Source organism: Homo sapiens, chromosome 3 (assembly GCF_000001405.40).
Source record: "Homo sapiens chromosome 3, GRCh38.p14 Primary Assembly".
Classification (NCBI taxonomy): domain Eukaryota; kingdom Metazoa; phylum Chordata; class Mammalia; order Primates; family Hominidae; genus Homo; species Homo sapiens.
Window position 1 is genome coordinate 9,652,948 of NC_000003.12, and position 27,564 is coordinate 9,680,511.

General features: G+C 46.7%; 1 protein-coding gene across 51 annotated transcripts in view; it reads left to right on the forward strand.

Moving 5' to 3' along the window:
• The window catches only part of MTMR14 (myotubularin related protein 14), a 52,889-nt gene that overhangs the window by 3,443 nt on the left and 21,882 nt on the right, over window positions 1–27,564 (forward strand). For 9 of the 51 annotated variants that reach the window (NR_174504.1, XR_007095717.1, XR_007095718.1 and 6 more), the window contains 8 exons: window positions 674–822; window positions 9,320–9,428; window positions 15,772–15,847; window positions 16,485–16,545; window positions 18,101–18,223; window positions 19,738–19,811; window positions 24,370–24,440; window positions 25,037–25,111. Coding sequence is in view for 39 of the 51 variants with exons in the window: in NM_001400518.1 (NP_001387447.1) it covers window positions 674–822; window positions 9,320–9,428; window positions 15,772–15,847; window positions 16,485–16,545; window positions 18,101–18,223; window positions 19,738–19,811; window positions 24,370–24,440; window positions 25,037–25,111 (738 nt within the window). In the remaining 12 variants the exon portion in view is untranslated. Of the gene's footprint in view, window positions 1–673; window positions 823–6,751; window positions 6,863–9,319; window positions 9,429–15,771; window positions 15,848–16,484; window positions 16,546–18,100; window positions 18,224–19,737; window positions 19,812–24,369; window positions 24,441–25,036; window positions 25,112–27,564 lie in introns of those variants that run through there. The other 42 variants (NR_174503.1, NM_001400526.1, NM_001400520.1 and 39 more) reach the window with 19 other exon arrangements.

The following is a 27,564-nucleotide window of genomic DNA, read 5'->3' on the forward strand; positions in this document are numbered from 1 at the left end:
AAATAAAGGCCGGGTGCCGTGGCTCACGCCTGTAATCCCAGCACTTGGGGAGGCCGAGGTGGGCGGGTCACCTGAGGTCAGGAGTTTGAAACTAGCCTGGCCAACATGGTGAAACCCCTGTCTCTACTAAAAATAGAAAAATTAGTCAGGCGTGGTTCTACGCACCTGTAATCCCAGCTACTCGGGGTGAGACAGGAGAATCGCTTGAACCCCGGACGCGGAGGCTGCAGTGAGCTGAGATTGCCCCACTGCACTGCAGCCTGGGCGACAGAGCGAGACTCCGTCTCAAAAAATAAATAAGAGAATGGGGAAGCTGACCAATGAAGGTAGTGGATTAGTGGCAGTTTCAGTAACCTGGACCAAGAGTTCTTATGTTTTATGGGTTGTAGACCTCTTTGAATCTAATGAAAGCTGTAATCGTCTCCCCCAAATGCTCAATACCCACAATTTCAGATTCATTGTTAGGGGTTTAAGAATCCTTCCTGAAGTATACAATATATGGGTTAATGGACTACACGTAGGACCTGTGGCCTAGCATCACATCTTCCCAGCACAGAATAATTATCACCCAGGTACATGTCTTTCCCAGTGACCTCTTAGGCCATGGACCTCCTAATTCTCACCCTCAGAACCCCAGAATTCTCTTTGTGTTCTGGTCTCCTTCTCTGTGCAGGTTGAGCGCATTGAGAAGAGATGTCTGGAGCTGTTTGGCCGAGACTACTGTTTCAGCGTGATTCCAAACACGAATGGGGATATCTGTGGCCACTATCCCCGGCACATCGTGTTCCTGGAGTATGAGAGTTCTGAGAAGGAGAAAGACACGTGAGCATCATGTGACCGTAGTGTACATGTCTGGGGAGTCCGTGGCAGCTAATCCCTGTGGCCAGGAAGTCTGTAGCTGGGCAGGGCAGAATCACTTTCCCCAGGTGTTAATCCTTATTGGCATTTTTATTTACTTCAAGGTTGGACAAGTCAGACTGGCAAGGTGGCATGGCATAGAATGAGGGGTTGGGAGTAACAGCCCTTGATTGCTGTTTCACTTCCACCCTAGAGCTCATTGTCCTAAGATAGCTGACTTCACACTTCACTTCTCTGAATATCAGTGTCCCTTTTTTAGAGAGTGTGAGTGGGAGGTACACTGTGTAAAGACAGGCTTACCAGCGTTTACCGTATGTAGCACTTGAGAGCCTAAGGTCTAGAGTCAGACTGCTAGAGTCAGACTGTCTAGAGTTCACATCCTGGATTCCCCTGTTGCTGGCTGTGTAACTGATGCTGGGCAAGTTACTTAACTGCTTTGTCCTTAGTTTTCTTATTGGTAATTCTCTACCTCATGTTAATTAGTCCTTTTAAGGACTAACTAAAATTTTAGAAAGTGGTAGTGCAGTCCAGATGATAAATGGGGCTGATAAAAGCCTGACATGTACGTTGTAAGAATTAGAAATAAAAGCTACCATTTATGGTGGGCCTACCAAGACCTGAGTACCTTATGTGGGTTAACAGTTTATACCAGAGCAGACACAGAATGCTTGGTGCAGGTTGTGGCCTGTAGGTAGTCAGTAAATGGTATAGTTATTTGATACTGATAAGTAATCACAGCATGAGGCTCTAGGAAGTGGTATATGTTGATCTCAAAGTTTGCTCTCCTAATCTCCCTACTTCCTGCTGATTTTAAGGGAATTTCAGGAGCCGTTGTCAGCACTATCTGTGAAATCCTGGCCCCGTGGGTGAAATGTTGTGAGGAGTACCGCAGCAGTCATGCTGCATAGTGCAGTAGCCCCTTGCTACTCAAAGCAGGGCTAGCAGTGCATTCAATAACTTGTTAGAAACGCAGAAGCTCATGCTCCAGAGCCACTGAGCCAGAATCACAGCAGAACAGGGTGTCCAGGTGATTCGAATGCACTACCAGGTTTGAGAAGTGCTGCCGTAGGCCAACTGGGGAAATGGTTAATTCTGCCTTGTGTTTATGTGCCTGGGAAGAACTGGAATTGGAAGGATGAGCAGGAGTTTCCCTGAAAATGTCCTTAGGGATCAACTCATATAGGATCTTGATCATCAGGCCAGGGAGTGTGAACCTGTGGGTTGTGTGTGGGTATCAGTGGTTTTATTGTGCTAGGAACCCCTAAGCACTTACTAAGATTATGGATTCTCGGCCTGGCCTAGTGGCTCATGCCTGTAATCCCAGCCTCCTTTGGGTGGATCACCTGAGGTCAGGAGTTTGAGACCAGCCTGGCCAACATGGTGAAACCCCATCCCTACTAAAATTACAAAAACTAGCTGGGCGTGGTGGTGGGCTCCTGTAATCCCAGCTACTCGGGTGGCTGAGGCAGGAGAATCGCTTGAACCCAGGAGGTGGAGGTTGCAGTGAGCCGAGATTGCACCACTGCACTCCAGCCTGGGCAACAGAGCAAGAGCAAGACTCTATCTCAAAAAAAAGATGACAGATTCTAGAACCTCTCCTGGGCCTTCTGGAATCAGAATTTCCAGTCTACATTCTGTGAGAGCTCCCTTGATGTCTTTTTTTTTTTTTTTTTTTTGAGACAGAGTGCTCTGTCACCCAGGCTGGAGTGCAGTGGCACGATCTTGGCTCACTGCAACCTCTGCCTCCCGGGTTCAAGCAATTCTCCTGCCTCAGCCTCCTGAGTAGCTGGGATTACAGGCGCCCGCCACCACGCCCAGCTACTTTTTTTGTATTTTTAGTAGAGACAGGGTTTCACCACGTTGGTCAGGCTGGTCTCGAACCCCTGACCTCATGATCCAGCCGCCTCGGCCTCCCTAAGTGCTGGGATTATAGGTGTGAGCCAGCACACCCGGCCTCTTGATGTCTTAAATACACTATAGCTTGAGAACCGCTGCTGCAGGCCATGGGGAGCCAGAGAAGGTTTACAGCAGAGGAACAATCCAGTAGGAGGAGTTTAAGCACTAAGCCTTAGTTTCCTCATCTGTAAAGTGGGGATGTCTATAAGAGTGCCCATCTTGGCCGGGCGTGCTGGCTCACACCTGTAATCCCAGCACTTTGAGAGTCCAAGATCATGAGGTCAGGAGATTGAGACCATCCTGGCCAACATGGTGAAACCCCGTATCTACTAAATATACAAAAATTAGCTGGGTGTGGTGGCGCACGCCTGTAATCCCAGCTACTCGGGAGGCTGAGGCAGGAGAATCACTTGAACCCAGGAGGCGGAGACTGCACTGAGCCAAGATCGAACCACTGCATTCCAGCCTGGCGACAGGGTGAGACTCCATCTCAAAAAAATAAAAAAAAAAGAGTGCCCATTTCACAAGGTTGTAGTGGGGTTCTCCAAGAAAAGAGTGTTAAGGGCTCTTGTAAATAGATCACAGAAACAGTATTACATCCTCAGTTATATAACCTAAGAACTTGGGATCGCCAAGCCTAAAGAATTGGGGTTTGTTATGGCCCTGTTATTTATGGTTCTTAGCTCTTCCTTAATTCCTCCTTCCAGAATTAGGTAAGCTTAGTTTCTTTTTTTTTTTAAGACAGAATCTTGCTCTGTTGCCCAGGCTGGAGTGCAGTGGTGCCATCTTGGCTCACTGTAACCTCTGCCTCCCAGGCTCTAGCGATCCTTGTGCATCAGCCTCCCAAGTAGCTGGAATTACAGGTGTGTGGCACCACACCTGGCTAGTTCTTGAATTTTAGTAGAGATGGGTTTTGCCATGATGGCCAGGCTAGTCTCAACTCCTGGGCTCAAACAATCCGCCTGCCATGGCCTCCCAAAGTGCTGGATTACAGGTGTGAGCCACCGCGCCCAGCTGGGTAAACTTAGTTTCCGTAAATCTTTAAGCTAAAGTTTCTGAACAAGAGGGTTTTGTTTTGTTTTGTTTTCTTTGTTTTTGCCTTGCCATTCTCTTCGTTCCCCTTCTTCCTACCCTCTTTGGTGCTGGCTGGCTGGTGGTTTTACCTCTGTGCCCTGATGATGACATTCTGATATTAAGCTCAGCTGTAATCAAGGTGGGTTTTTTTGTTTTTGTTTTTGTTTTTAATTAAGACGGGGTCTGGAATGCAGTGGCACAATCATGGCTTGCTGCGGCCTTGATCCCCTGGGCTCAAGTGATTCTCCCACCTCAGCCTCCCAAGTAGCTGGGAATATGGGCACATACCACCACTCCCAGCTGATTTTTTTTAATTTTTAGTAGAGACCAGGTCTCGCTGCATTGCCCAGGTGGGTCTCCTGAGCTCAACAGATTTCCTCACCTCGGCCTTTCAAAGTGTTGGGATTAGAGGTGAGAGCCACCGCACCCAACAGAGTGGTTCTTTTCTATGTTGATTTTATGAGTGAATCAACTGGGGATCTTTCTACAATGCAGAGATTCAGAAGACCTGAGGTGGGCCTGCGATTTGGCATATTCTAACAAGCTCTCAGGTAATACCAAATGTTACCCTTCAGTAACATAATAGTACATTGAGAAACGTAGTGGTGGTTGCCTTGTAAAAGCTTTTCCTGGAAGGAAACAAGTTTAGTGTTGATCCCTTAAAGAGACTGAAACTAGTATTTGTTGAGTACCTCTGTTTGGCAGGTGTTGAGGTTTTACTTGCTAGCTTAAGCCCTACAACTATTCAGTGAAGAAGACAGTATCACCACTCTTTTTTTTTTTCAATTTGATATGGAGTCTTGCTGTGTCGCTGAGGCTGGAGTGCAGTGGCGCAAGTGATCTTGGCTCACTGCAACCTCTGCCGCTCAGGTTCAAGTGATTCTCCTGCCTCAGCCTCCCTAGTAGCTGGGATTACAGGCGCGTGCCACCATGCCCGGCCAATTTTTGTATTTTTAGTAAAGACGGGGTTTCAACATCTTGGCCAGGCTGGTCTTGAACTCCTGACCTCGTGATCCACTGGTCTCGGCCTCCCAAAGTGCTGGGATTACAGGTATGAGCCACCGCGCCTGGCCCTCACCACTCTTTTATAGATGAAGTTGAAGCCCAGAGAAGTAATTTGCCTTTGCCGAAGATCACAGAGGTAGTAAGCAGAGTGGGGTTAAAAGCTGTATTTCCTGACTCTGTACCTGTCTGCCTTATCTTTCACCACCACGGCTCTCCCACCTTGTCTAGCAGAACCTCACAGTTAGGCCAAGGCCACTGTGGAACATGATTAACCTTAGAGGAGCTTGTTGGAGTTTGTTTTTACTTTTCACTCCTTGCAAGGCCTTAAAGTGTTACTGAAGTGATGTTGAGTGGGTGATGCCTGCTTGTTGAAAGGGGGGACTTCGGGTATGTTTGGGTGGGAAGAAATAGCATTTTTTGCTTTTTTACTGTCTGGCTTGGCTGTTACTATGATGCTGAATTAAACTGAATAGACTGAATAAAAAATAGACTGAATTAAACAGGGTAGAATTGGATTTAAGCAATGTTTTGGTCCTGTTAAGGAACCTCTCCAATTTGGTTCATCATCTGGGAATAGAAGCCTGGACAGGGATCTCTGAATAGCTAAGACATGTTTGTCAACAGTGTTCGTTCAGCTGCTGCTGTGTAGTAGACCTCAGGGATCAAGTTGGAAGCCAGATAGATGAAGTCCTTACCAGTAGGTCTAGTGGGAAACAGAGTCCAATAAAGAAGCAATAATTGTTAATAAAAGCTGGAATTAGGGGAAGTACAGGTGAGGCCCTGCCGGATAGTGGTTAAAACCATGGGCCCAGTGGCTACCCACAGGGTTTAGAATCTCAGCTACCCTGTTTACCTGTTCTGTGACTTTGGGCTAGAGATTTCATCTCATTAAACTACCTCATCTGTAAAATTGGGTAAGTGAGGACTGAGTGAGATAATGTGGGTGTAAGCTCTACTTTGTGCCTCTTATCTATTAAATAGTAGCAGCAGTAACATTTATCTCAGGAAGTTGTGGGGTACATTATAGGAACAAGCCACCCAGTTTGGTAAGTGTGGTGCCTGTCTGGGAAAGCTTCCTATTGGAAATATGTGATAACAGCATTTTCTTCTGTATTTGAAAATAGTTTGGCTGGGCATGGTGGCTCACGCCTATAATCCTAGTTACTTGGGAGGCCGAGATGGGCGTTTCGCTTGAACCCAGGAGTTTGAGACTGAATTAAACTGAATAGACTGAATAAAAAACAGACTGAATTAAACAGTCTGGGCAACATGGTGACACCTTGTCACTACAAAAAATACAAAGCATTAGCCAAGCATCGTGGCATGTGCCTGTAGTCCCAGCTACCTGGGAGTCTGAGGTGGGAGGATCACCTGAGCCCAGGAGGTCAGCTGCAGTGAACCATGGCGCCACTGCACTGCAGCCTGGGCAACAGAGGAAGACCTTGTTGGGAAAAAAACAACAAAATCTCACTACCTGGTAACATCTTGCCAGAAATTTCAGTGCATACATTACAAATGTAAATACAGAAGCCTACATTCATCCCTTCGAATGTGAGTATTATGTGCCAGACACAGCTCAGTGCTTAGCACTGCAATAAAAGAATCCTAAGGACAAGAGATAATAAAAACAGGAAAAAGTGAGAGAACAGAAACTGAATTGGTTCTTTTTTTTTTTTTTTTTAAGACGGAGTCTCATTCTGTTGCCCAGGCTGGAGTGCAGTGGCGTGATCTCTGCTCACCGCAACCTCCGCCTCCTGGGTTCAAGCAATTCTCCTGCCTCAGCCTCCCGAGTAGCTGGGATTAGAGGCGCGTGCTGCCACGCCTGTCTAATTTTTGTAGTTTTAGTATAGACGGGGTTTCACCATGTTGGCCAGGCTGGTCTTTACCTCCTGACCTCAGGTGATCTGCCGCCTGAGCCTCCCCAAGTGTGGGATTACAGGCATGAGCCACTGTGCCTGGCCAGAAACTGAATTGGAGCTTGATGTAGGGGAACCGGTAAAGGAACCACTGGCCGACCTAACAAGAAAAGGTGGGTCATTACATTAAAAGATCCTCCCTAGAGGAAAATGCTGATGTGTCCTCCACCAGGGGTGTTTTGTTTGTTTGTTTTTAACAGAAGTTTAGCCTGAGAAATCCACCTTGGTTTTGAGGCTACAACTCAACCTGGGAAAATCAGATGTAGGCATTTAGGGTTCAGAGGGCTGGTATGAGCTAAGTGAGAGTCGGTTGCAGCAGATGGTGCTGACCAGATATGTGACATCGGCCACGGGCCAAGTAAGTGGGAGGAAGGCCACTGTGGCAGTACTAAAGGTGCTCGGTTTTATATTCTTGTGGAGTCTAGTTAGGCAATTAATTGGTACCAAGGTGCCTTTTGATTTCATAGAGAAACTGGGTGAGGGGAAGGCAGCACACTCTGGTTCTCTGTGAGCTTGTGTGCCTAGGGCTGCCTGGTGGGTTGCTGCCACCCTACGGGCACTTTGCTTTTTTTTTTTTCCCCCAGACGGAGTCTCGCCCTTCGCCCAGGCTGGAGTGCAATGGCGTGATGTTGGCTCACTGCAAACTCTGCCTCCCGGGTTCAAGCAGTTCTCCTGCCTCAGCCTCCTGAGTAGCTGGGATTACAGGCACGCGCCACCACGCCAGGCTAATTTTTTTGTATTTTTAGTAGAGATGGGGTTTCACCATGTTGGCCAGGCTGGTTTTGAACTCCCAACCTCAAGTGATCTGCCCACCTTGGCCTCCCAAAGTGCTAGGATTACAGGTGTGAGCCACCACGCCTGGCCCCTAGATATATTTTAACTAAGAATTCGCAGTATTTTAAAGACTGTGTTTTTATTAACCCTAACAGCATCCAGATACATTTAAAGAGGTACCACAAGTATGTGGGAGTCACTGATTTCTTCCTTCTGGGATAATATTTGGGTGCATGTGTACAAGAGGAGCTGTACGCAGATTCCTAGAAGGATTAGGATGTGGAAGCAATTAAATTCCCTCTAGGAGTTGGTCTGAAAGCTCAACACTTTTAAGGAAGGAACATGAGTATTTTTCCTTCCTTCTACTTGGTTACTCTGTGTAGCTGGGAAAGCTTCCTGCTCTAACTTTCCTGCCTCCTGTTTCTGTTGCTACCAGAAGCTCTGACTGGCTGGGGTGAGCTTTGCTAAAGGTTGGTAGGTGAGTTTATGAGAGCGGACCCTTATTTTAGGGAAGCGTGATTTGATATGGGTATGACTTGCTGGAGCTAACTTCTAAACCTCACTCTCAAGTTCTAGAAGCTCACTTACCAAGCCCAGTGCATTAACTACTACACGTCCCTGTGTCACACATGGCTTCTCTTATGCCTCCTTTGCTCTGTGCGCTGTTGGCCATATGGACTGTGAAAGCAGAGGCCTAGAGCCATGTGGACCAAGAAACGTCATCTCATTCTGCCCTCTAAAACAGCACTCCCCAACCTTTTTGGCACCAGGGACTGGTTTCATGGAAAACAATTTTTCCACGGCAGGGTGGAGAAAATGGTTTCAGATGAAACTGTTCCACCTCAGATCATGAGGCATTAGATTCTCTGCAACCCCAGTCCCTCACATGCGGAGTTCACAATAGGGTTCGAGCTCCTATGAGAATATAATGCCGCCACTGATGATCTGACAGGAGGTGGAAGTCAGACGGTAATGCTCACTTGCCTGCTGCTCACCTCCTGGTTCCTAATGGGGCATGGACTCGTACTGATCTGGGGCTCAGGGCCTGGGGACTGCTTGCTCTAAAAGATCACAAAAATACATATTCAGAGTTATGCAAAAAATAGATAGTCACAAAAATGGTCCTGTGATTTCCAGAGAGGGTCCCTAGGGCACCAGGTCTTATCCTGGGAGTTAAAAATTGGACACCCTAGACATAATATCCAGTTTTCTGTGTATATTTCTGAATTTTGTATATGTCTTCAGTTTAGCTCACTTTTTTTTTATCTTAAAGGTTCAGAAATCAGAGTGATTTAAGTTTTAATACCTATAATTAGCACTTTTTTTTTTTCCTGAAAAACTTAATATATCTCATGCCTGTGATCCCGGCACTTTGGGAGGCCGAGGTGGGCGGATCGCCTGAGGTCAGGAGTTTGAGGCCAGCCTGGCCAACGTGGTGAAACCCCGTCTCTACCAAAAATAAAAAAATTACCCAGGTGTGGTGGCTCACACCTGTAGTCACAGCATACTCGGGAGGCTGAGACAGGAGAATTGCTTGAACCCGGGAGGCAGAGGCTGTGGTGAGCCAAGATTGCGCCACTGCACTCTAGCCTGGGCAACAACAGTGAAACTCCGTCTCAAAAAAATAGATAGATAGACAGACAGATGATAGATGATATAAAATTTAGGAATGACATTTAATTTCAAGCAAGCATTATGTACACAGATCTAGTATGGGGGTCTGTGTGAATAAACACATATACACAAAGTGCCCACTTCAAAGTCAGCTTGACCTGCTTCTCTTGCCTGTGTGTTAGGTTTGAGAGTACCGTACAGGTGAGCAAGTTGCAAGACCTCATCCACCGCAGCAAGATGGCCCGGTGCAGAGGACGGTTTGTCTGCCCAGTAATCCTGTTCAAGGGCAAGGTAAGGCCCATACCATAGCTTCATGCTCCACGACTCTCTTCTGGGGTAGCTGACTTACTGCAAAGTATAGGGTCTTTTTTTCCCTCAACATTAGTAGCCAAGCATTGGGTGGTTACTGGGTGTTGTGGGAAGCAGTCCAGAGAAACAGACCAATTCTGACTGAAGGATGGTTCTAGGTAGAGAAGGGATGGTCACACCAGCATACCCCACCCCGTGTTCCAGAGCCAGACTGCCTAGGTTCAGATCCTGACTCTTATTTCCTGCCTATGCAGAGCCTCCTTTTCCTCTCCTATAAATTAAGAATAATAATCACCTATTTCAAAGGTTTGTGGATTAGATTAAATCAAATGAGTTCCTATATTGTTTTTCCATTCTTTCAATTATATAATTCACCAAGTATTTATTGTATATTATGTGCCAGACACTGCTTCAGGCCTTAAAATACATCACCATGTAAAGCAGACAAAAATCTTTATTGTCATGGAGCTTATATTCTAAGGACTTTTGTTAATTTAATTTGGCTCCCCAGTTTGGTTTCATTTTTATCTATCTTTTGGTGTACGGGATGTGCCCATTTCATTGCAGATGAAACAGAGGCTGAGAGTGACTAAGTAACTTCCCTAAGTAGAGGGTACACATCAGGGCAGAGGATGGAGGGGATTGAATGAAGACGGCTGAACGCTGAGCAGGGAGGTGGCTCTGTGTTTGCTAGGAGAGCCATTGTGACGTTTGAGCGGGGAAATTCCGAATGCAAGTAGCAACGGTGCGAAAATTGGTCCAAGAAGAGTGGACTGACATACAGAGAGCCTCAGAGGGGAAGGGAGCGGAATTCAGTCTATTCATTCCTTTAGCTGGTATCTGAGTGTCTCAGTGGTCAAGGGCAGGGCAATGGGGAGAGTCTGACTGTTGTCTCAGTCCCTGGTGTGCCTTTTTTGTAAATTGGGAAAGAGGAGGAAGGAAGGGAGACTCTGCCAAAAGCTTTCTTCTTCAGATCAGTTTTAGGGAAAAGTATGTATGGAAGTTAGGTCCTAGAAATTGATCTTCTTAAAGCTGTTGCCACTTTGGAAAGTTTTCATGTTCCCGAAAGTTATTGCAACTTTTTTTTTTTTGAGATGGAGTCTCTCTCTTTTTTTTTTTTTTTTTTTTTTTTTTGAGGCAGCAGACATCTTGCTCTGCTGCCCAGGCTGGAGTGCAGTGGTGCGATCTCAGCTCACTGCAAGCTCCGCCTCCCGGGTTCACGCCATTCTCCTGCCTTAGCCTCCCGAGTAGCTGGGACTACAGGCACCCGCCACCACGCCCGGCTAATTTTTTGCATTTTCAGTAGAGACGGGGCTTCACCGTGTTAGCCAGGATTGTCTCGATCTCCTGACCTTGTGATCCTCCTGCCTCGGCCTCCCAAAGTGTTGGGATTACAGGCGTGAGCCACCGCGCACGGCCTGGAGTCTCTTCTGTTGCCAGGCTGGAGTGCAGTGGCCCAAGCTTGGCTCACTGCAACCTCCACCTCCCGGGTTCAAGCAATTCTCCTGCCTCAGCCTCCCGAGTAGCTGGGATTACAGGAGCATGTCACCACACCCAGCTAATTTTTGTATTTTTAGTAGAGACGGGGTTTCGCCATGGTGGCCAGGCTGCTCTCAAACTGCTGACCTCAGGTAATCCGCCCGCCTCAGCCTCCCAAAGTGCTGGGACTACAGGCGTGAGCCACCACGCCTGGCCTGCAACTTCATTTGAAAGAGTACCACCCTGTGCAGCACAGCGCTTGTCATTAGAGGTTGCACGGGAGATACTCCAACCAGTGTTTCCATAGAATAGCAGTTTAAGGACATGCTTGCGAAAAGCATTATCTGTCAAATAAGAATTCGAAATACTGCATACTAGATTCTTCAAATAGATTGATAAATGTATGTTCATATAGTTAAGGCTCTGAGAAGTCCTGTAGCAGAGAGGCCTGTGTTAGGTCAGACATGTGGCTCACGGTAGGCACTGAGGAACTAGTATGATGGTGGCAGCATTATTACCAACAATACTTTAGGGACACCAACCTCTACCAGGTTGAGGAAGAGAGAGAGTTGTGTTAAGAAATGCTTGCTTCCACTGTGTTAAGAAATGCTTGCTTCCACAACCTAAATGTCCATCAACAGATGAATGGATAAAGAAAATATGGTACATGTATGCAATGGAGTACCATTCAGCCATGAAAAATAATGAGATCCTGTCATTTGTATCAGCATGGATAGAACTGGAGGTCATTATGTTAAGTGAAATAAGCCAGGCACAAAAAGACAAACTTCACATGTTCTCACTTATTTGAAAGCTAAAAAAATTAAAACAATTGAACTCATGAAGATAGAGAGTAGAGTTATGGTTACCAGAGACTAGGAAAGGGTTCTGACAGGAACAAGGGGGAGGAGTGGGGATGGTTAATGGGTGCAAAAATATAGTTAGAATGAGTAAGATCTAGTATTTGATAGTACAACAGGGTGACTGCAGTCAACAATAATTTATTGTACATTTAAAAATAAGTGTATAATTGGATTGTTTGTAACATAGAGGATAAATGCTTGAGGTGATGGATACCGCATTTACCCTGATGTGATTGTTATGCGTGGTATGCCTGTATCAAAATATCGGCCGGGCACGATGGCTCATGCCTGTAATCCCAGCACTTTGGGAGGCCAAGGCAGGCAGATCGTGAGGTCAGGAGTTCGAGACCAGCCTAGCCAACATAGTGAAACCCCGTCTCTAATAAAAATACAAAAATTAGCCAGGCAAGGTGGCAGGCGCCTATAATCCCAGCTACTCCGGAGGCTGAGGCAGGAGAATTGCTTGAACCCAGGAGGCAGAAGTTGCAGTGAGCCGAGATCGTGCCATTGCACTCCAGCCTGGGCGACAGTGTGAGACTGTCTCAAAAAAAAAAAAAAAAAAAAGTCTCACGTACCCCATAAGTAAATACATGTACCCACAAAAGTTTTTAAAACTTAAATTCTTCCAGCGGAAACAGAAAATCAAATACCGCATGTTCTCATTCATAAGTGGGAGCTAAATAGCGGGTACGCATGGTCATAAAGGTGGAAACAATAGACGTCAGGGACTTCAAAAAGGGGAGAGAGGAAGAGGAGGAGGAGGCAAGGGTTGAAGAATACCTGTTGGGTCCTATGTTCACCATTTGGGTGATGAGTTAAATAGAAGTCTAAACCCCGCTTACACAATATATCCATGTAACAAACTTGCACAGGTACCCCTGAATCTAATGTTTAAGAAAAAAGAAATGCTTGCGTTCTGCTTCCTTCAAAACTCAGTTCAGCATGGTTGGTGCAACTGAGGAACTAAGGTTATATTTTACTTCATTTCATTTTAATTTTTTTTTTTTTTTTTTGAGACAGAGTCTCGCTGTCGCCCAGGTTGGAGTGCAGTGGCGCGATCTCAGCTCACTGCAAGCTCCGCCTCCCGGGTTCATGCCATTCTCCTGCGTCAGCCTCCCGAGTAGCTGGGACTACAGGTGCCTGCCACCATGCCCGGCTAATTGTTTGTATTTTTTAGTAGACAGGATTTCACGGTGTTAGCCAGGATGGTCTCGATCTCCTGACCTCGTGATCCGCCCGTCTCGGCCTCCCAAAGTGCTGGTATTACAGGCGTGACCCACCGTGCCCGGCCCATTTCAACTTAATTTTTAAGGCTTGAAGCAATGTAAAAGTTTGTTGTTGTTAAAAACAACTTTGAAATGAGTCCACGTTTCCCTTAAAATGCCCAAAGTTTGTTGGTTTTTTTTTTTTTTTTTTTTGAGACAGTCTCTCTCCGTTGCCCAAGCTGGAGTGCAGTGGTGCCATCTTGGCTCACTGTAACCTCTGCCTCCCAGGCTCTAGCGATTCTTGTGCCTCAGCCTCCCAACTAGCTGGGATTATAGGCACGTGCCTCCACACCTGGCTAATTTTGTCTTTTTAGTAGAGACTGAGTTTCACCATTTTGGCCAAGCTGGTGTCAGACTCCTGGCTTCAAGTGATCTGCCCACTCTGGCCTCCCAAAGTGCTGGGATTACAGGCGTGAGCCACCACACCTGGCCAATGCCCAAAGTTTCACATCCTACTTAAGATATGCTTTAAGTGTAAAATACACATCAAATTTTGAAGATTTAATAGAAAAAATGTAAAATATTCATTTTAAAAGTGATTACATGTTGACATAATGTCTTGGATATGATGGGTTAAGTAAAGTATATTAAATAATTTTTCAAAACTCAGTTCAAGCATTGAACAGTAAGTTCTCATACCATTTTCTCCCCAAACACTTGAGTCTGGCTTTTAGACCATTGAAACTGGAACAATTCATCTTTCTTTTTGTTTAAGAGGTGGGGAGCAGAGGTCAGAGGTTACTAAATTAGAAAATTATACAGAGTGCTTTTCCACGGACCGTATTAGAGGCCATTCCTAACTAGGTAAATGGAGAGCATTCAGGGTAGATCTTGCGTTTTCAGTCAGGAGCCAGCTTAAAGGGCAGAGATGATGGGTTATGAGTCAGAACCATGAGGCAAAGGAACAGGTGTCTATCAAGAGGGGTCAGCCCTCCCACAGGGGCCTTCCTGAAGAGGCTGGTTCCCCACTTGGGGACTTGGCCAACTTGTTTTTCTCCATCTGACTCGGGTTTTGCTGGCCTAGGTCTGGCTGCCTCAATTACTAAAAAGACAAGGTCAATAGAAGGGATGTGGAAGAATAATTGGGAACAGAAAAAGGGTCTCAGAACTCAACAGCCAAAAAGAAGGCAGCTATCTGCTCTGAAAGATTTAACAGAAATAATGCAAAGGAGAGTGAGGTCAGCTGCCAGCAGCTTAGATGAAGCGGGGAGAGTGGATATGATACAAATGCCAGTGGAACAGGCAGCCACACACCCTGCCAACGTCTTGGAGTCTTAGAGGTCCTCAGCCCTTTCCTGTGGAAGCATCCACTTTACTCCTCACTGCTTGACTGACTTCTTAAAGCAAGGGCTTTTAACGGGGTCTGGGAATGGGTTCATCAGTGGACTTGAGAGAGTCCAGAAATCCCTGGAAATGTAAGTAGATTATGATGTGTACATATTTTTTTTTTCAGGAGATAGTTCATACTTTTTTATCAGATTTTCAAATTGCTTTTAGACCCACAGAAAGTTAAGTGGCCCCCACTGGAGTACATCCTACTTAAGCCAGCAGGAATGCCAGCCCTTGGTAGGCTTCCTCAGTAGGCTTCCAGGACAGCCTCTCCACAAACCAGCTCTTGCCCCAGCACCAATAATGCCCCTCATTCTGTCCCAGGTTATATCCAGGTAGCTTTTCTATTGCTGTCCCCACGTCCCCACCCCTTGTCTGCTGCTACCTCAGATAGAGCCAGAAAGTGACCTAGTCGTTCCCACGCACAACTCTTTGCTGTAGCAGCAAAACTTTCCTTCCCATTATCTTACAGGTAGAGATGGAGAAGCCTTCAGATGGTACTTGGCAATCTTCCAGGGATCCACTTTCCATTTGCACATTGTGTTACCCATTCAGCAGTGAGCTTCACTCCCTGTCTGTCACCTCACAACTTCGCCATTTCCCATTGTAGTGTAACAGGGTCATGTTCTCCTAGCCTTTAGCTAAATTCTGGGCTGGTTTGCCTTCCCATCACCAGGTATCTCCTCCCATTCCCCCCACCCAACTAGATTTCAGCAAACACTATTTATTTTAAACAAGTAACCTTACAATTAGATATTGAGGTTTGTGCCAGTTGCCCGTTTCTAGAATTCTCTTAACAGTGATCCCTTCAGTGATGAGGAAAAGAAGCCTCTAAAACATTTCTCACTCACCCCTTGCCCCCGCTAGAAAGGTTGTTCCTGTCTACACTGAACAGTTCCAAATCACAGTAAGCACATAGAGGTCAGTGGGTTTGGATCAAATCCCAGCTCACCCCTCATTATATGACCTTACACATCACTTAACCTCCCTTAGCCTGTTTTTCTTTTCTTCATCTGTGTAACAGCAACAATGCATGCCACCTGCCACATATCCCTCATGGGCTTGTTGTAAAATTCAGTGAGAAGATGATGGGTTTTTCAGTACCATGTCCAGCACGTGGTACACATGCAACAACCACCCAATCTGATCCGATCCTGTTGGTAACACTGGCGCCTCTTGTTTGGGAGTGAGACTCCCTCAGTAGAGGTTGTGGATTAAGTACTAGGGATCTTCTGACTGATTGTGGCAGCCTTGATGCTGATAAAACTTTGGGGAGTGCTCCTGGGCCCGTTATGCTGGCCTGGAAGAGTCAGAGGAGTCCCACATGTTCCTTCAACTGTGCATGCTTCAGAAAACCATCTGACCGTGAAAATGATGTTTCTCTCCCAGCACATTTGCAGGTCGGCCACACTGGCTGGATGGGGAGAGCTGTATGGACGCTCAGGCTACAACTATTTTTTCTCAGGTGAATGTTGAACAGCATCCTCTGATGTAGAATGAGAACCCAGTCATAGAGAATAGCTACCCGGGCCGGGCGCCATGCCTCACGCCTGTAATCTCAACACTTTGGGAGGCCAAGGCGAGCGGATCCCGAGGTCAGGAGTTCGAGACCATCCTGGCTAACACGGTGAAACCCCATCTCTACTAAAAAATACCAAAAATTTGCCGGGTGTGGTGATGCACACCTGTAGTCCCAGCTACTCAGGAGGCTGAGGCAGGAGAATCGCTTGAACCCGGGAGATGGAGGTTGCAGTGAGCCGAGATCACGCCACTGCACTCCAGCCTGGGCAACAGAGTGAGACTCCGTCTCAAAAAAAAAAAAAAAAGAATAGCCACCCATGACCACAATAGTATAGGTAGGGGGTCTGAGTGAGCTGGGTGGAGATCAGGGGCCTTCCTTTGATCAGGGACCAGGAGACAAACAGGAGTTCACCTTAGAGGTGAAGACTACCAGGCATATGGGGGCATACTGTGTCCTTAGGAGTAGAGCCATGTAGTCCCAGCCCACCCTTGGCACTATGGGGAAGGAGGCTGGTGAGGAGGCCCCTGTGTGGAGCCCTGGGTCACCAGCCTCAGTACTGACAGATAGGTTTCTCTGGCAGGGGGTGCAGATGATGCCTGGGCAGATGTGGAGGACGTCACGGAGGAGGACTGTGCTCTTCGGTCAGTGCTGGGTTGCTGTGGTCAGGGGCTTGTGTTGGGGATGGGGTGTCTGGCCAGAGATGGCCATGTTCATATTGTCCGTGGGTATTTGTCACTGGTTCAGGTGAGTGGATTGGCTTCTTCCTCTTCTGTCTGCCAAGTCTGTGCCCCTGAAATATGGCTGTTGAAGTCCACTGGGTAGCAGCCAAATACCTGAGCAGTCTGTCCCCATCTTGACTGCACACCTGGATTCACAGAGAACATCCCACTCTTGGGGTTCCTGGTACTGCAGGCCCGAGATAGGGCCCAGACATCTATATTTGTTTTAAAGCCCCACAGAGTTGCCAGTTTGCAGCTATGATGCTGATTACCAACCTGCCAGATCTCACCCAGTACAGCTGGTACTGAGGCACAGGGCAAGGGCTACAGTCCATACATAGGAGACATGAGGTCTAGCCTGGAAGGCACATTTGGAGACCAGATGTGTCACAGCTGCATGATTGGTACTACACATAAGAAGAGCTTGGTACAGAACAGGAGTTTGAGTCCCTATAAAAGGAGGAAATGGGCTGGTTCACACTCTTGCTATCCGCTTTCCAAATGTTTTTAGAAAACAATACTACAGGATATTTTAGAAAAGCTCCTTTGCATGGTCTGTACCACATGGAAAGTCTTTAACTGGTGTCAAGCATCTCTGGAATGCACACAAGCACCCTAGTTAAGATCAGCTTCCCAAATCATAGTTCAGTTCATGAAAGGGCATCTTGCTATGCCCAGGTTCTGCCTGTTAGCTCTGAAAGCAGCGGCTCTGGCTTGTGCTCAAGAATGTTTGGCTCTTCTCCCTAGATCAGGTGACCTCTGCCCAGCCAGGTCACCATCTTCAGCATACACTGTTCTTAGCAAGGAAACTGCTGGGGACAACAAAGCAGTGTGGATTAAAAAATAAAAAAGTAATGGCGACTGTTTATGCTTTCTACTTCTGCCTGTATCTGCAGGGCTGATCAAAAGGCAGCAGTGAGATAGAAAAATTTTATCTTTCTCTTTGCTTCATCGGCCTGCTAGGTAGAGGGAATTTACTTGCTAGTATTTCATAATCAGTTGATAAAATAGCTCTAAAAACTTTATCTGTACAAGTATTTCAGACTGCTACATTATGAGCAAGTCATGTGGCTAAAAATGATCATAAATGGGGGAAAAGGAGGGGGTGGAAGGGGATCAATTCTAATGGAAACGGAAAGATTCTATCAGCCACCAGCCTGCTGCATTTTAGAACGCTGAGATTATTTTGAGTCTTCTGGCTTAATGTCAAGCAATGCCAGAAAGTCCTTTTCCATTTCCACCTGCAAATTTCTCTTCTTTGAAATACATCCCAGAGATTGGGGTAGTCTCTTAGAAAGTCACCTTCCCTGCAACCTCGCTGAAATCAGTTGTCCTGTTTGGCACCCATGCGTCCACCTAGCACACGCCCCAGCTTCTGGAGAAGAGTGACATCCATACTTCCCTGAATGAGTGCCCACCCCCAAGCTCCTGTGAGTGAACATGCCATGTAACTTCTCCCTCTGGCTCTTTATTTCAGAAGTGGTGACACGCATCTTTTTGATAAGGTCAGAGGCTATGACATCAAGCTGCTTCGATACCTGTCAGTCAAATACATCTGTGACCTGATGGTGGAGAACAAGAAGGTGAAGTTTGGCATGAAGTAAGTACAGGCGCCCACTACAAAATGAGCAGAGGCAGTGTGTACAGATTTGCAGGGCTGGCGTTAGTATGTAGCTGTCACTGCGTGCTGGCCTTCTTACAAAGGGCTTTCTGTACATTATCTCACTGTATCTTCAGACAGCCCTGCAAAATAGGTACCAGTGTCCCCCTCTTACAGACACTGAAGCACAGAGAGATGAAGTAGCTTGCTCAGGTTGTATGTTAGTGACTGAGGCAGCCATCAGTCTCTACCCAGTGCTCTGCTGCCACCTTCTCTTACATATCTCTGTATTTTTTTTTTCCAGCTCCATGTTCTATGCCATGTGTGGCAGATTAGAATCTCTTAATTTTTTTAATTTATTTTTCATAGTGACAGAGTCTTTGTTGCCTAAAGTGGTCTCAAACATGTGGCCCTAAGCAGTCCTCCTGCCTCAGCTTCCCAAAGTGCTGGGATTACAAGAATGAGCCCACTGTGCCTGGTCCTAGAATTTCTTTTAAAATTGAACAAAAAAATCAGCATATATTCAAATTTTACTTCAGTGACTGCTGTCATATAAAAATAACACATATGGACCAAATTCAAATATAAGAAGTCAAAACTAAAAAATAGAGCCTGGGTTAGTGATGAGACTTCAGGAACTTTTTCCAAAATTTTGTTTTTTAAATGATTTTTAAATGTTTTTAAATGATCCTAAAAGGTGGTCTTAGAAAATAAGGCATACTGAGGCTAACGTTAGAGCTCACCTATCTTCAGATCTGAATATTGCCTTATTCCTCCCATCCTTTATCTGTCAGAGTCCCCAGTGTTTATTTTCAGATGCTGTTTGTTCACCCTGTTCAGAAGTGGGCTCAGTGACTATTAGAGAAGACAGGAGAGCAGAAAAAAAGGGTTCCCATAGGATCATATTATTTGGCTCTCATCTCATTCCTGGGTCAGAGTGGCTACACTGTGTGCATTTTGGGGTCAGGTGGAAGGTTGTTTTCCACCTTTAGGCTCTGATTGAGGCTTGCTGTAGTATTAGAGGGGGAGTAACTTCCCTTGGTTGATATGTTGGAATAGGGGCAGAGAAGGTAGAGTTCTTTTTTTGACATGGAGCCTCACCCTGTCACCCTGGCTGGAGTGCAGTGGCACAATCTTGGCTCACTGCAACCATCTGCCTCCTGGGTTCAAGCAATTCTCCTGCTTCAGCCTCCTGAGTAGCTGGGATTACAGGAGCGCGCTGCCACACCCCACTAGTTTTTTATATTTTTGATAGAGACAATGTTTCACCATGTTGTCCAGGCTGGTCTTGACGGGGTTTCTCCATGTTGGGAACATGACCTCCAGCCGATGCACCCAGCTGAAGTTATAGTTCTTAATTGTACAAAGTAGGCACTGCTGAAGGGAATTATTAACAATGAAGAATAGTTTTTTTTAGCAGAAGCTTCATTTGTGATTATAACCCTTATTTGGGGAATGGTGTGTGTTTGTGTGTGTGTTGCGACACTGTAACACATTGTATCCTTGTCTTGTAGTGTAACCTCCTCTGAGAAGGTGGACAAAGCCCAGCGCTATGCCGACTTCACTCTCCTCTCCATCCCGTATCCAGGTAGGGGGCTCTCTTCTAGTGGCAGGCATCCTAGGACTGGGGACCTTGGGGGCCATGAGCAAGCCCTCTCTACTTAGTTACACTGGCGCCCTGGGAGCTTTCCTGGAGGGTTTGTGTCAGGCAGTGTAGGACATTTTGGTTCCCAGTCACAGGCCACACTAAGCATAGGATAGTGTCCTGGGGAAGGGGCTTTCCACTCAAGGGGTTTAGGGATTTTGTACTGTCACTGGTCCTAGCCACAGCCTTGAGTGAAGTACTTCACCCCTCCAAGCCTCAAGTTTTCTCAGGAGCTTGGAACGATTTAGCTCAGTTTTGATTTATATGAAAGTGGTCTGTGCATGAAAATACTGTTTAAGTGTAAAATGACATTATTAGTACTCTGTGTGAGCAACTACACTTGCTGCTGTAGCCTGAGTGGATGTCACCCTTTGGGTGCATGTCTTGAAGTGATTGAGTTATTTATGGAAATTGCCCCAGGCAAGGCTATTCTGGTGGTAGAAGAACACATAATTGCTATGTTCCCAGTAACTGGACAGTGGCCACACCATGTTGCAAAGCACATTGGTATCCACAAAGCTGCATTTGTTCCTGGCACATAAAAGTGTGTGCAACCTGTGGCCAGGGCTGTATTCTCTGCACTGGATATTAAAGCTGTTGGTCTAGTGTGTAGCATTCAAGTTTTCTGGCAATACCTGCCTGTTTAGTAAGGGAGGCCAAGGACCTCTAACATCAGTGCAAGATGTTGTCAGCAGACAACAGGGAGTAAATACTCTTTCTCCTTAAAACCTCTCTCCTATTTCTCAGCACCAGCATCTGCCTTCAGTGTTGTGTTGGACCTTATCTCCTCAATATTGGGGCCACATAGCCATGAGCAAGGGCAGGCAGGTTCATCTAGTGCCTTGTGGGAGGGGTGTCCTCATCATGTGCAAGCTGGGGGCAGGAATCCCAGCCCTAGCACTGTGTCTCCTTGAACAAGTCCTATAACCCTTCTGAGCATCAGTTCCCTCCTTAATAAAATGAAGATAATGGTGCTTATTTAAGAGTGAAGTGCCAGACCCCTCCATAACAGGTGTCCTGTAAATAACAGGCCTAATGATGAGTAGTTGGGAAAGCTTCAGGGAACCTCCTTTTCCCTAAAAGCAAGTTTGCGCTGATGCAGATGATGATGATGGTGGTGATGATGTTGATGATGGTGATGATGATGATGATGATAATGATGCTGGAGTGAGCTTGGCAGTATCAGACCCACACTGATGGGTGTATCCTACCTAAGGGGGTCCACACTGGAACCACTGGGTAACTCCATAGCTGGTTTTCAGACATAGTTTCCAGCTCCCAGGAGATGCTTCGGGGGTTCCACAGACTGAACTCTGCAGGTTTGCACTGCCTGAGGAACCAGGCATCACTTCGTTTAAATTTAGGTTCCAAGTAGGACTTGGTTTGGAAAAAATAGTTTTGCTAGAAGTATAAATAACATTGCTCCAAAATAGTAGCACAGTGTCCTTTCTGCTGTAGTTTGGCAACTTGTTACAGGACTCCCAAAATGTTATCACCCTTTGACCCAGGTATTTTTCTAATAATTGGTCATTAGGCTGTAATTCAGCCACTTGGTGTTGAGGACGTTCATCATGATGTCTATTTGTAATAGCAAAACAAGAAATGTTTTCACTAATCAGAATAATGATTGAATGATGGCACATCCCTCAGTAGAATGAAATATTGTATAGTCATAGAAGAATCGAAAATGGGCTGGGCATGGTGGCTCACGCCTTTAATCTCAGCACTTTGGGAGGCCTAGGCAGTAAGATTGCTTGAGCCCAGGAGTTCAAGACCAGCCTGGGAAACAGCGACACTCTGTCTCTACCAAAAATAAAAAATAGAAAATGCTTACACTTTTTGACATGGAAAACGTCACAGAGCTTAAGATAGGCAGGATACAGAATCACATAGTATACTCTCAACTAAGTAAAGGAAAATGTGCTTATAAAAAAGGCTTAAAAGGAAGTGTGCCAAAATGTTAAGATGCCTGAATGCTTTCCCCAAAGCTTTTTTTGTTATAAAAGGCATCAAAAGCCGAGTGCAGTGGCTCACGCATATAATCCCAGCACTTTGGGAGGCTGAGGCAGGCAGATCACCTGAGGTAGGGAGTTCAAGACCAGCCTGACCAACATGGAGAAACCCTATCTCTACTAAAAATACAAAATTAGCCGGGCGCGGTGGCGCATGCCTGTAATCCCAGTTATTCGGGAGGCCGAGGCAGGAGAATCGCTTGAACCCAGGAGGCGGAGGTTGCAGTGAGCCAAGATTGTGCCATTGCACTCCAGTCTGGGCAACAAGAGGGAAACTCCGTCTCAAAACAAAAATAAAAACAAAAACAAATAAAAGGCATCAAAAGAGACCAAAATTTGTATGTACTGTATCTGACAGTGTATGTGTGTTAGGGAGGGTAATGAGGATCAATAAAAATAAAAAAGCTGGAGATGGGATGAGACACCATTGCACACCCAAATAAGGGGGACAGGAGAATCACTTTTTATTTGATAGACTTGTGTTCTTGTGGGTTTTTTTACATAACTTCTATTACTTTATAATAAGAAAAAGAAATAAAATTACTATTACCCAAACCAAGTCACGAGCTGCACTTTGATGCTATTTAAGGAATCTCAGTTGAGCCCTGTGATGACTTTGAGGCTCATACAGGTACTCAGTAGTCTCAGTTCTAGATGTGTCACACTATCTTGGGCCCTTGGAAATGAGAAGTATTCTGGGATCGTTTCTTTCAGCACACCAAAATAGATGGTCCCAAATTCTGCAGCACAAATCTAATTTGTTTCCTCCTTGAGTGAATGGCACTTCTCATCCTGCTTTTGGTCCCTCTCCTCTTGCCTGACAGTGGTTCCGAAGCCTATTCAGGTAATGAACATTAGGCATTTGCCCTGAGTAGAGTCTATTTTAATTCTGTTTCTCACAAAAACTGCTTCTGCATCATAGGCGGGTCTGAGCTCAGCCTGAGGCCTGCAGTGTTGATTTGAGCAGCTAGAGTTGGGAAAACAGCACTTCACAAGAGCTCTGAGGGATAATTGCTGTCTCTTCTAAACCTGGGCTCATAACTCAGGGCCTCTGTCTGAGATCTATAATTCTTCTTTCTCCCAGTGAGGCTCCCAAGAATAGGCTAAAGTGTTATGGCTGAAGATTGTTTCCAGACTTCTCGAGGCCTGGGGATTAGAGTGCAGGGTGTGTATGGAATGAAAGCCACTTCTGGAAAACATGGGCTGGGTCTCCAGGGAAGCTTTCCTATCTTCCCTGAGGTGGCCTCAGACAGGAACTTGGCCCAAGAGTTGCTGCGACATTCCATGTGAATCTTCTTTGTGGCTACTTCCCCTGAATTTGGACGATTGTTTTCTTGCCTCTGGGACCTCACCAGACTTGGAGGTGTGGCCAAAGCCATGTGCCGTCTGAAGTTTGTGTAGAGGCCCTGATTGAGGTGCTGAGAATAACTGCAAGCTAGCCAAGTGCCTTCTCCCACCATATTTCTTGAAGCCACCAGGAGCTCCTTGGAGGACCAGATGCTCTCTGTGCTATAGTCAGACTCAGCAGGGGCAGGCCACAGCCCGGGGGGCAAGACGCATTCTCTCTGACCAAGGCAGCCAACTCCAAGCGCAGAGCAAAGTAGTTGACTTCACGCTGTGGGCTGGCACTGTGGGCTCTTGTTGCAGTGGCAGCGTGATGACAATAGTGTGCTGCCATTTGAGTGTCACTTGGACCAGTGCAGTGCTAGGTGTTTTATATGTATTATGTCATCCTTAAACAGCCATTTTACAAATGACAAAATCAAGGCTTAGAGACATTAAACAACTTGTTCAGCGTTACAGTGTTAAGTAAAAAGCTGAGATTTTAAGCTGGGAATGTTGCCAAAGCCCTATTCTCTCCAGTGTTTCTCTCTGTTCCTGAGGGCTTGTCCTGGTGGAGTTACTTATGATTTTTCCACCAAAGAATATAGAAAAGTGCCTCTTTGCTTGCTTTGTTGGGCATGGCAGTGTCTCTTGAGCACCGGGTTTTAGGCACTGTCCGTGGGCCTTTCCAGTATGTTAGGATGTTCAGTCTTCACTAAAAGCCTGCAAGGCTAGCATTATTTGCCCCCATTTTAGAGAAGAGGAAGAGTGATCCTCTGCAGCTAGGCTGCAGTGGCTCACGTTGTGAGTCATGCCTTTGTTTACTGGGATTGGCACTACAGAGACCTGTAGGACAAAGGGACTTGCAATGTGGGGGAAGTGACTGGTGACCAGTGAGCATAGATGGAGAAAGTTACAAAGAGGCTGAGAGCAGGCAGTGCCTCGTGGAAAAGGCATGCAGCCAGGAAACCAGAGGGGCTCTAGAGGCTCGCCCCTGGCTTTTGCCCACCCGTGTCAGCCTTGGCCTCACTGAAGCCACTAGCTTGGAGAAGTGTGAGTTGGCGGCCCCCTCTCCACAGCACTCAGGGACCTGGGTCTGGCCAGGGCTGTCTCAGAAGACTTTGGGCTGGGAAGGGAGATGTCATAACTCTGCCCTTCTTTTCCAGGCTGTGAATTTTTCAAGGAATATAAAGATCGGGATTACATGGCAGAAGGGCTCATATTTAACTGGAAGCAGGTATGAGCAATAACATACATCAAATTGGATCTATGTCTCTTTGTAAAGGGAGGCCAAGGAGAACAACAAGCAGTCTTTGGGGAAAACAACAAGCAGTCTTTGGGGAAAATAACTCCCCTTTCCTCCCTGATTGTTTCTGTCTTCCTCTCCCTCTTCTCCTTGTATATACTTGTTAAATTTTCATCATTATACTTTCCTCCCCCCTTTATTTCTCTTTTGTTTAAGGGAATTTTTCAGAAACAAGATAGGAAAAGCCCTTCCCTTCTGTACTCTCTGTGTGAAAGCTGGGGGCAGCATTCTTTGCCTTCCCCAGCCTGTAGGGGCAGGCTATGGGAAACCTGCCGGAAGCTGAACACATATTGATCTTGCATGTTTCAGCAACAGACATCAAATGTCCGACTGAAAAACTCCTACTCAGCTATACTGATCTGGTCACATTGATTTTTAAGCTGTCACTCCCAGGTAGCACAGGTATCTGGCCCAGAGAAGGCAAGCACTGCCTGTGGTAGTCACAGCCTCAGGACTGCAAGCTTCCCCATCACCTAAGCCTCCTCTGGTGGCCAACCCACATCTCACAGGAGTCTTTCTGTCCCCAGGACTACGTTGATGCCCCATTGAGCATCCCCGACTTCCTGACTCACTCTCTGAACATTGACTGGAGCCAGTATCAGGTGAGGGGCCTGACTCAAGCATTGAGGGCAGGATAAGGGAGTGGTGACCAAGGAGACTCTTGATGCCTGCCCCACAAGGCCCTCGTGTGTTTGCCTGATGGGCTGGCTTGTGCACTCAGATGCCTTTGGCCCTCTGTCCTCTCAGAAAGGAGGAATTGTGTGTCCGTTCAACTATCTCCTGATTTGCTCATGTCCCAGAAAATCAAAGCTTTCTGAACGTGACTCATTCAAAGATTTGCATCCACCAGGGGGTTCTGTTTCCAGAGGACCTCATAGAGTCTGCTATTCCAGATCTGGGCTTTAGTTACTTTTACATTTTTCCTTTTAAATGTGTGTTCAGCCAGAGGAAGTACAGAGCTGCCTGACCTCATTTGATTATAGAAACATTAAAATTACTTCCACCATGCTCTTCTCCGTCATTGCACACCATGGAAGGGGCCTCTAGTCTTACTGGAAACATCTCTCTACCCTTAGCCCACACAGTCTGAAGGCTGCCAGCAGCTTTGCTTGCCACTTGCTTCAGACAGAACAAGTAGTTTTGTTTTTCTGCGACCTTTCCCATGTCCTGTTCCTCTGCCTGGCTGCCACCTCTCAGCTTCCTCTTGTCTGGCTGACATACTGCCCTTCAGGCTTTGGCTCGAGTGTCTGCTTCAGGAAGACTTCCCTGATCTGCCTCTTCCTTATCCCTGGCGAGTTGGATGCCTGCATCTATATTCCCATTAACCCCCTGGGCACATCCATCATGGAATTTTCCACTGAGCTGTAGTCACTGATTTAGAGATCTGCTTCCCTGAAATCCTGGAGGACAGGGACCCACAGCTTGTGTGTCCCAGCACAGAAACAGGCACAGAGCCTAGAACTTGAAAGACTGAGCCAGTGAGCAACAGAAAACATTCTGCCTCCCTGCTAGTTTCCCCTGTCCCCAGGTCTGGACAGCTCCCACCCAGCCTTGAGATCTCTCTTTCTTTGAAAGGCTGACCCATCTATGTTAAGCAACTGGGTGCTCCTAGATCACCAATGTCAGTACCCTGTTGTCCTGATAGCAGCAAGGTCCATCTTGTTTTCTCTATATATATCCAGACCCTAATCACAAGGTTTATGCTCACAGCAACTGTTTGAGTGTATGAAGTAGGGTGATGTCAGAGTTCCCCAATGCAGGTGTTTGCAAGAGAGGGAGCACTGGGGAGGAAAGCAGACCAGTTGTTTGTTATGGTCTGGAAGCCTGGAGAAGGAACAGGTTTGGGGTACCTGTGCTGTGGTCTCATGTCCCAGGCTGTGCCTAGACAGACTGAGTAGATAAAAGAACCGGCAGGCTTCCTTCTTTATGTGCTGCATGCAGAGGTCAAGTAGACTCTGCCCCAAGCCACCCTCTTTCTGGTCCCTTCCGGCACCATTTTTTCTCCTTATGCAGGTACAAACTGGATCTGATGAACTACTCAGCAAATGAGATGTGACAGTTCCAGGCACTGGTCCCAAGGATGTTTGCCTCTTTAGGAAGGGGTCCTGTGCGTGTGAGGAGGTACTCTGCTTAGTAGATGCAGGCCCTAGATCTAGGTCCCAGCTTGCCTGGCCCTTCCTGCAAGGCTCTGTGGCCTTGAACAGATGACCTCACTTCCCCCTGAAAATGGTGTTGGCAGTACCTATTTCAGAGTTGTGCCAGGCTCAAATATGATCACTGCTTGAAAGGGACTCCTGAACTGAAATACCAGACAGATTGTAATGATAATTATGAAGAGGCTGCTAGCTAGCTAATTCAGGGAAGTGAACACTGAAACTTCCAGGCGTGAAGGCAGCAGGGCTGGAGTGTAGCAGGCAGGCAGGCGCCTCCCAAGAGGCCACCTCTTCAGTGTTGCTCAACCTGTTTTGTCTCACTGGGGCTCCTAGCATGCTCTTCCTTGGCTGGGTGTGGGCTCTGCCTTTTCTGCCCGCAAAGCCCTGGGGTGCCGGTACCCTGTTCCTTTTCACCATCTCCCCAGGTGATCTCATCCATCGTCCACACCATGAGCCCACAGCCAGGCCTCTCTGATCCATACCTGCATCACCTTTCACACATGTCCCTTCAGGCGGCCCCTCAGACTCAAGCTGTCCAGAGTAGAGTTGGCCATGGCCCACCATTTACCCAGATGCTCACACCTGAAACTCGAGTTCTTTGCTCCCACCACATCCATCACCAGCTCCCATCGGTTCTCTAGTCTCTGCCCCTAGTGCAACTGCAATCCTTCTTGCCCTCGTCTCCTGTGCAGTGCCTAGCTCAGGCCACCACTGTCTCAGTGCATCTCACAGCTGAACCTGGGGCCTCACTGAGGAGTAACTAGAAATGAAGTGCTCAGATAGCAAGCACTGAAATGATAGAGCAGGGCCATCACTGTCACCCCTGCCTTAAAACCTACCACTGACTTCCCATTTTCCTCAGAATACAATGCAAGAACTTGTACATGGCCTACCCAGCTCCA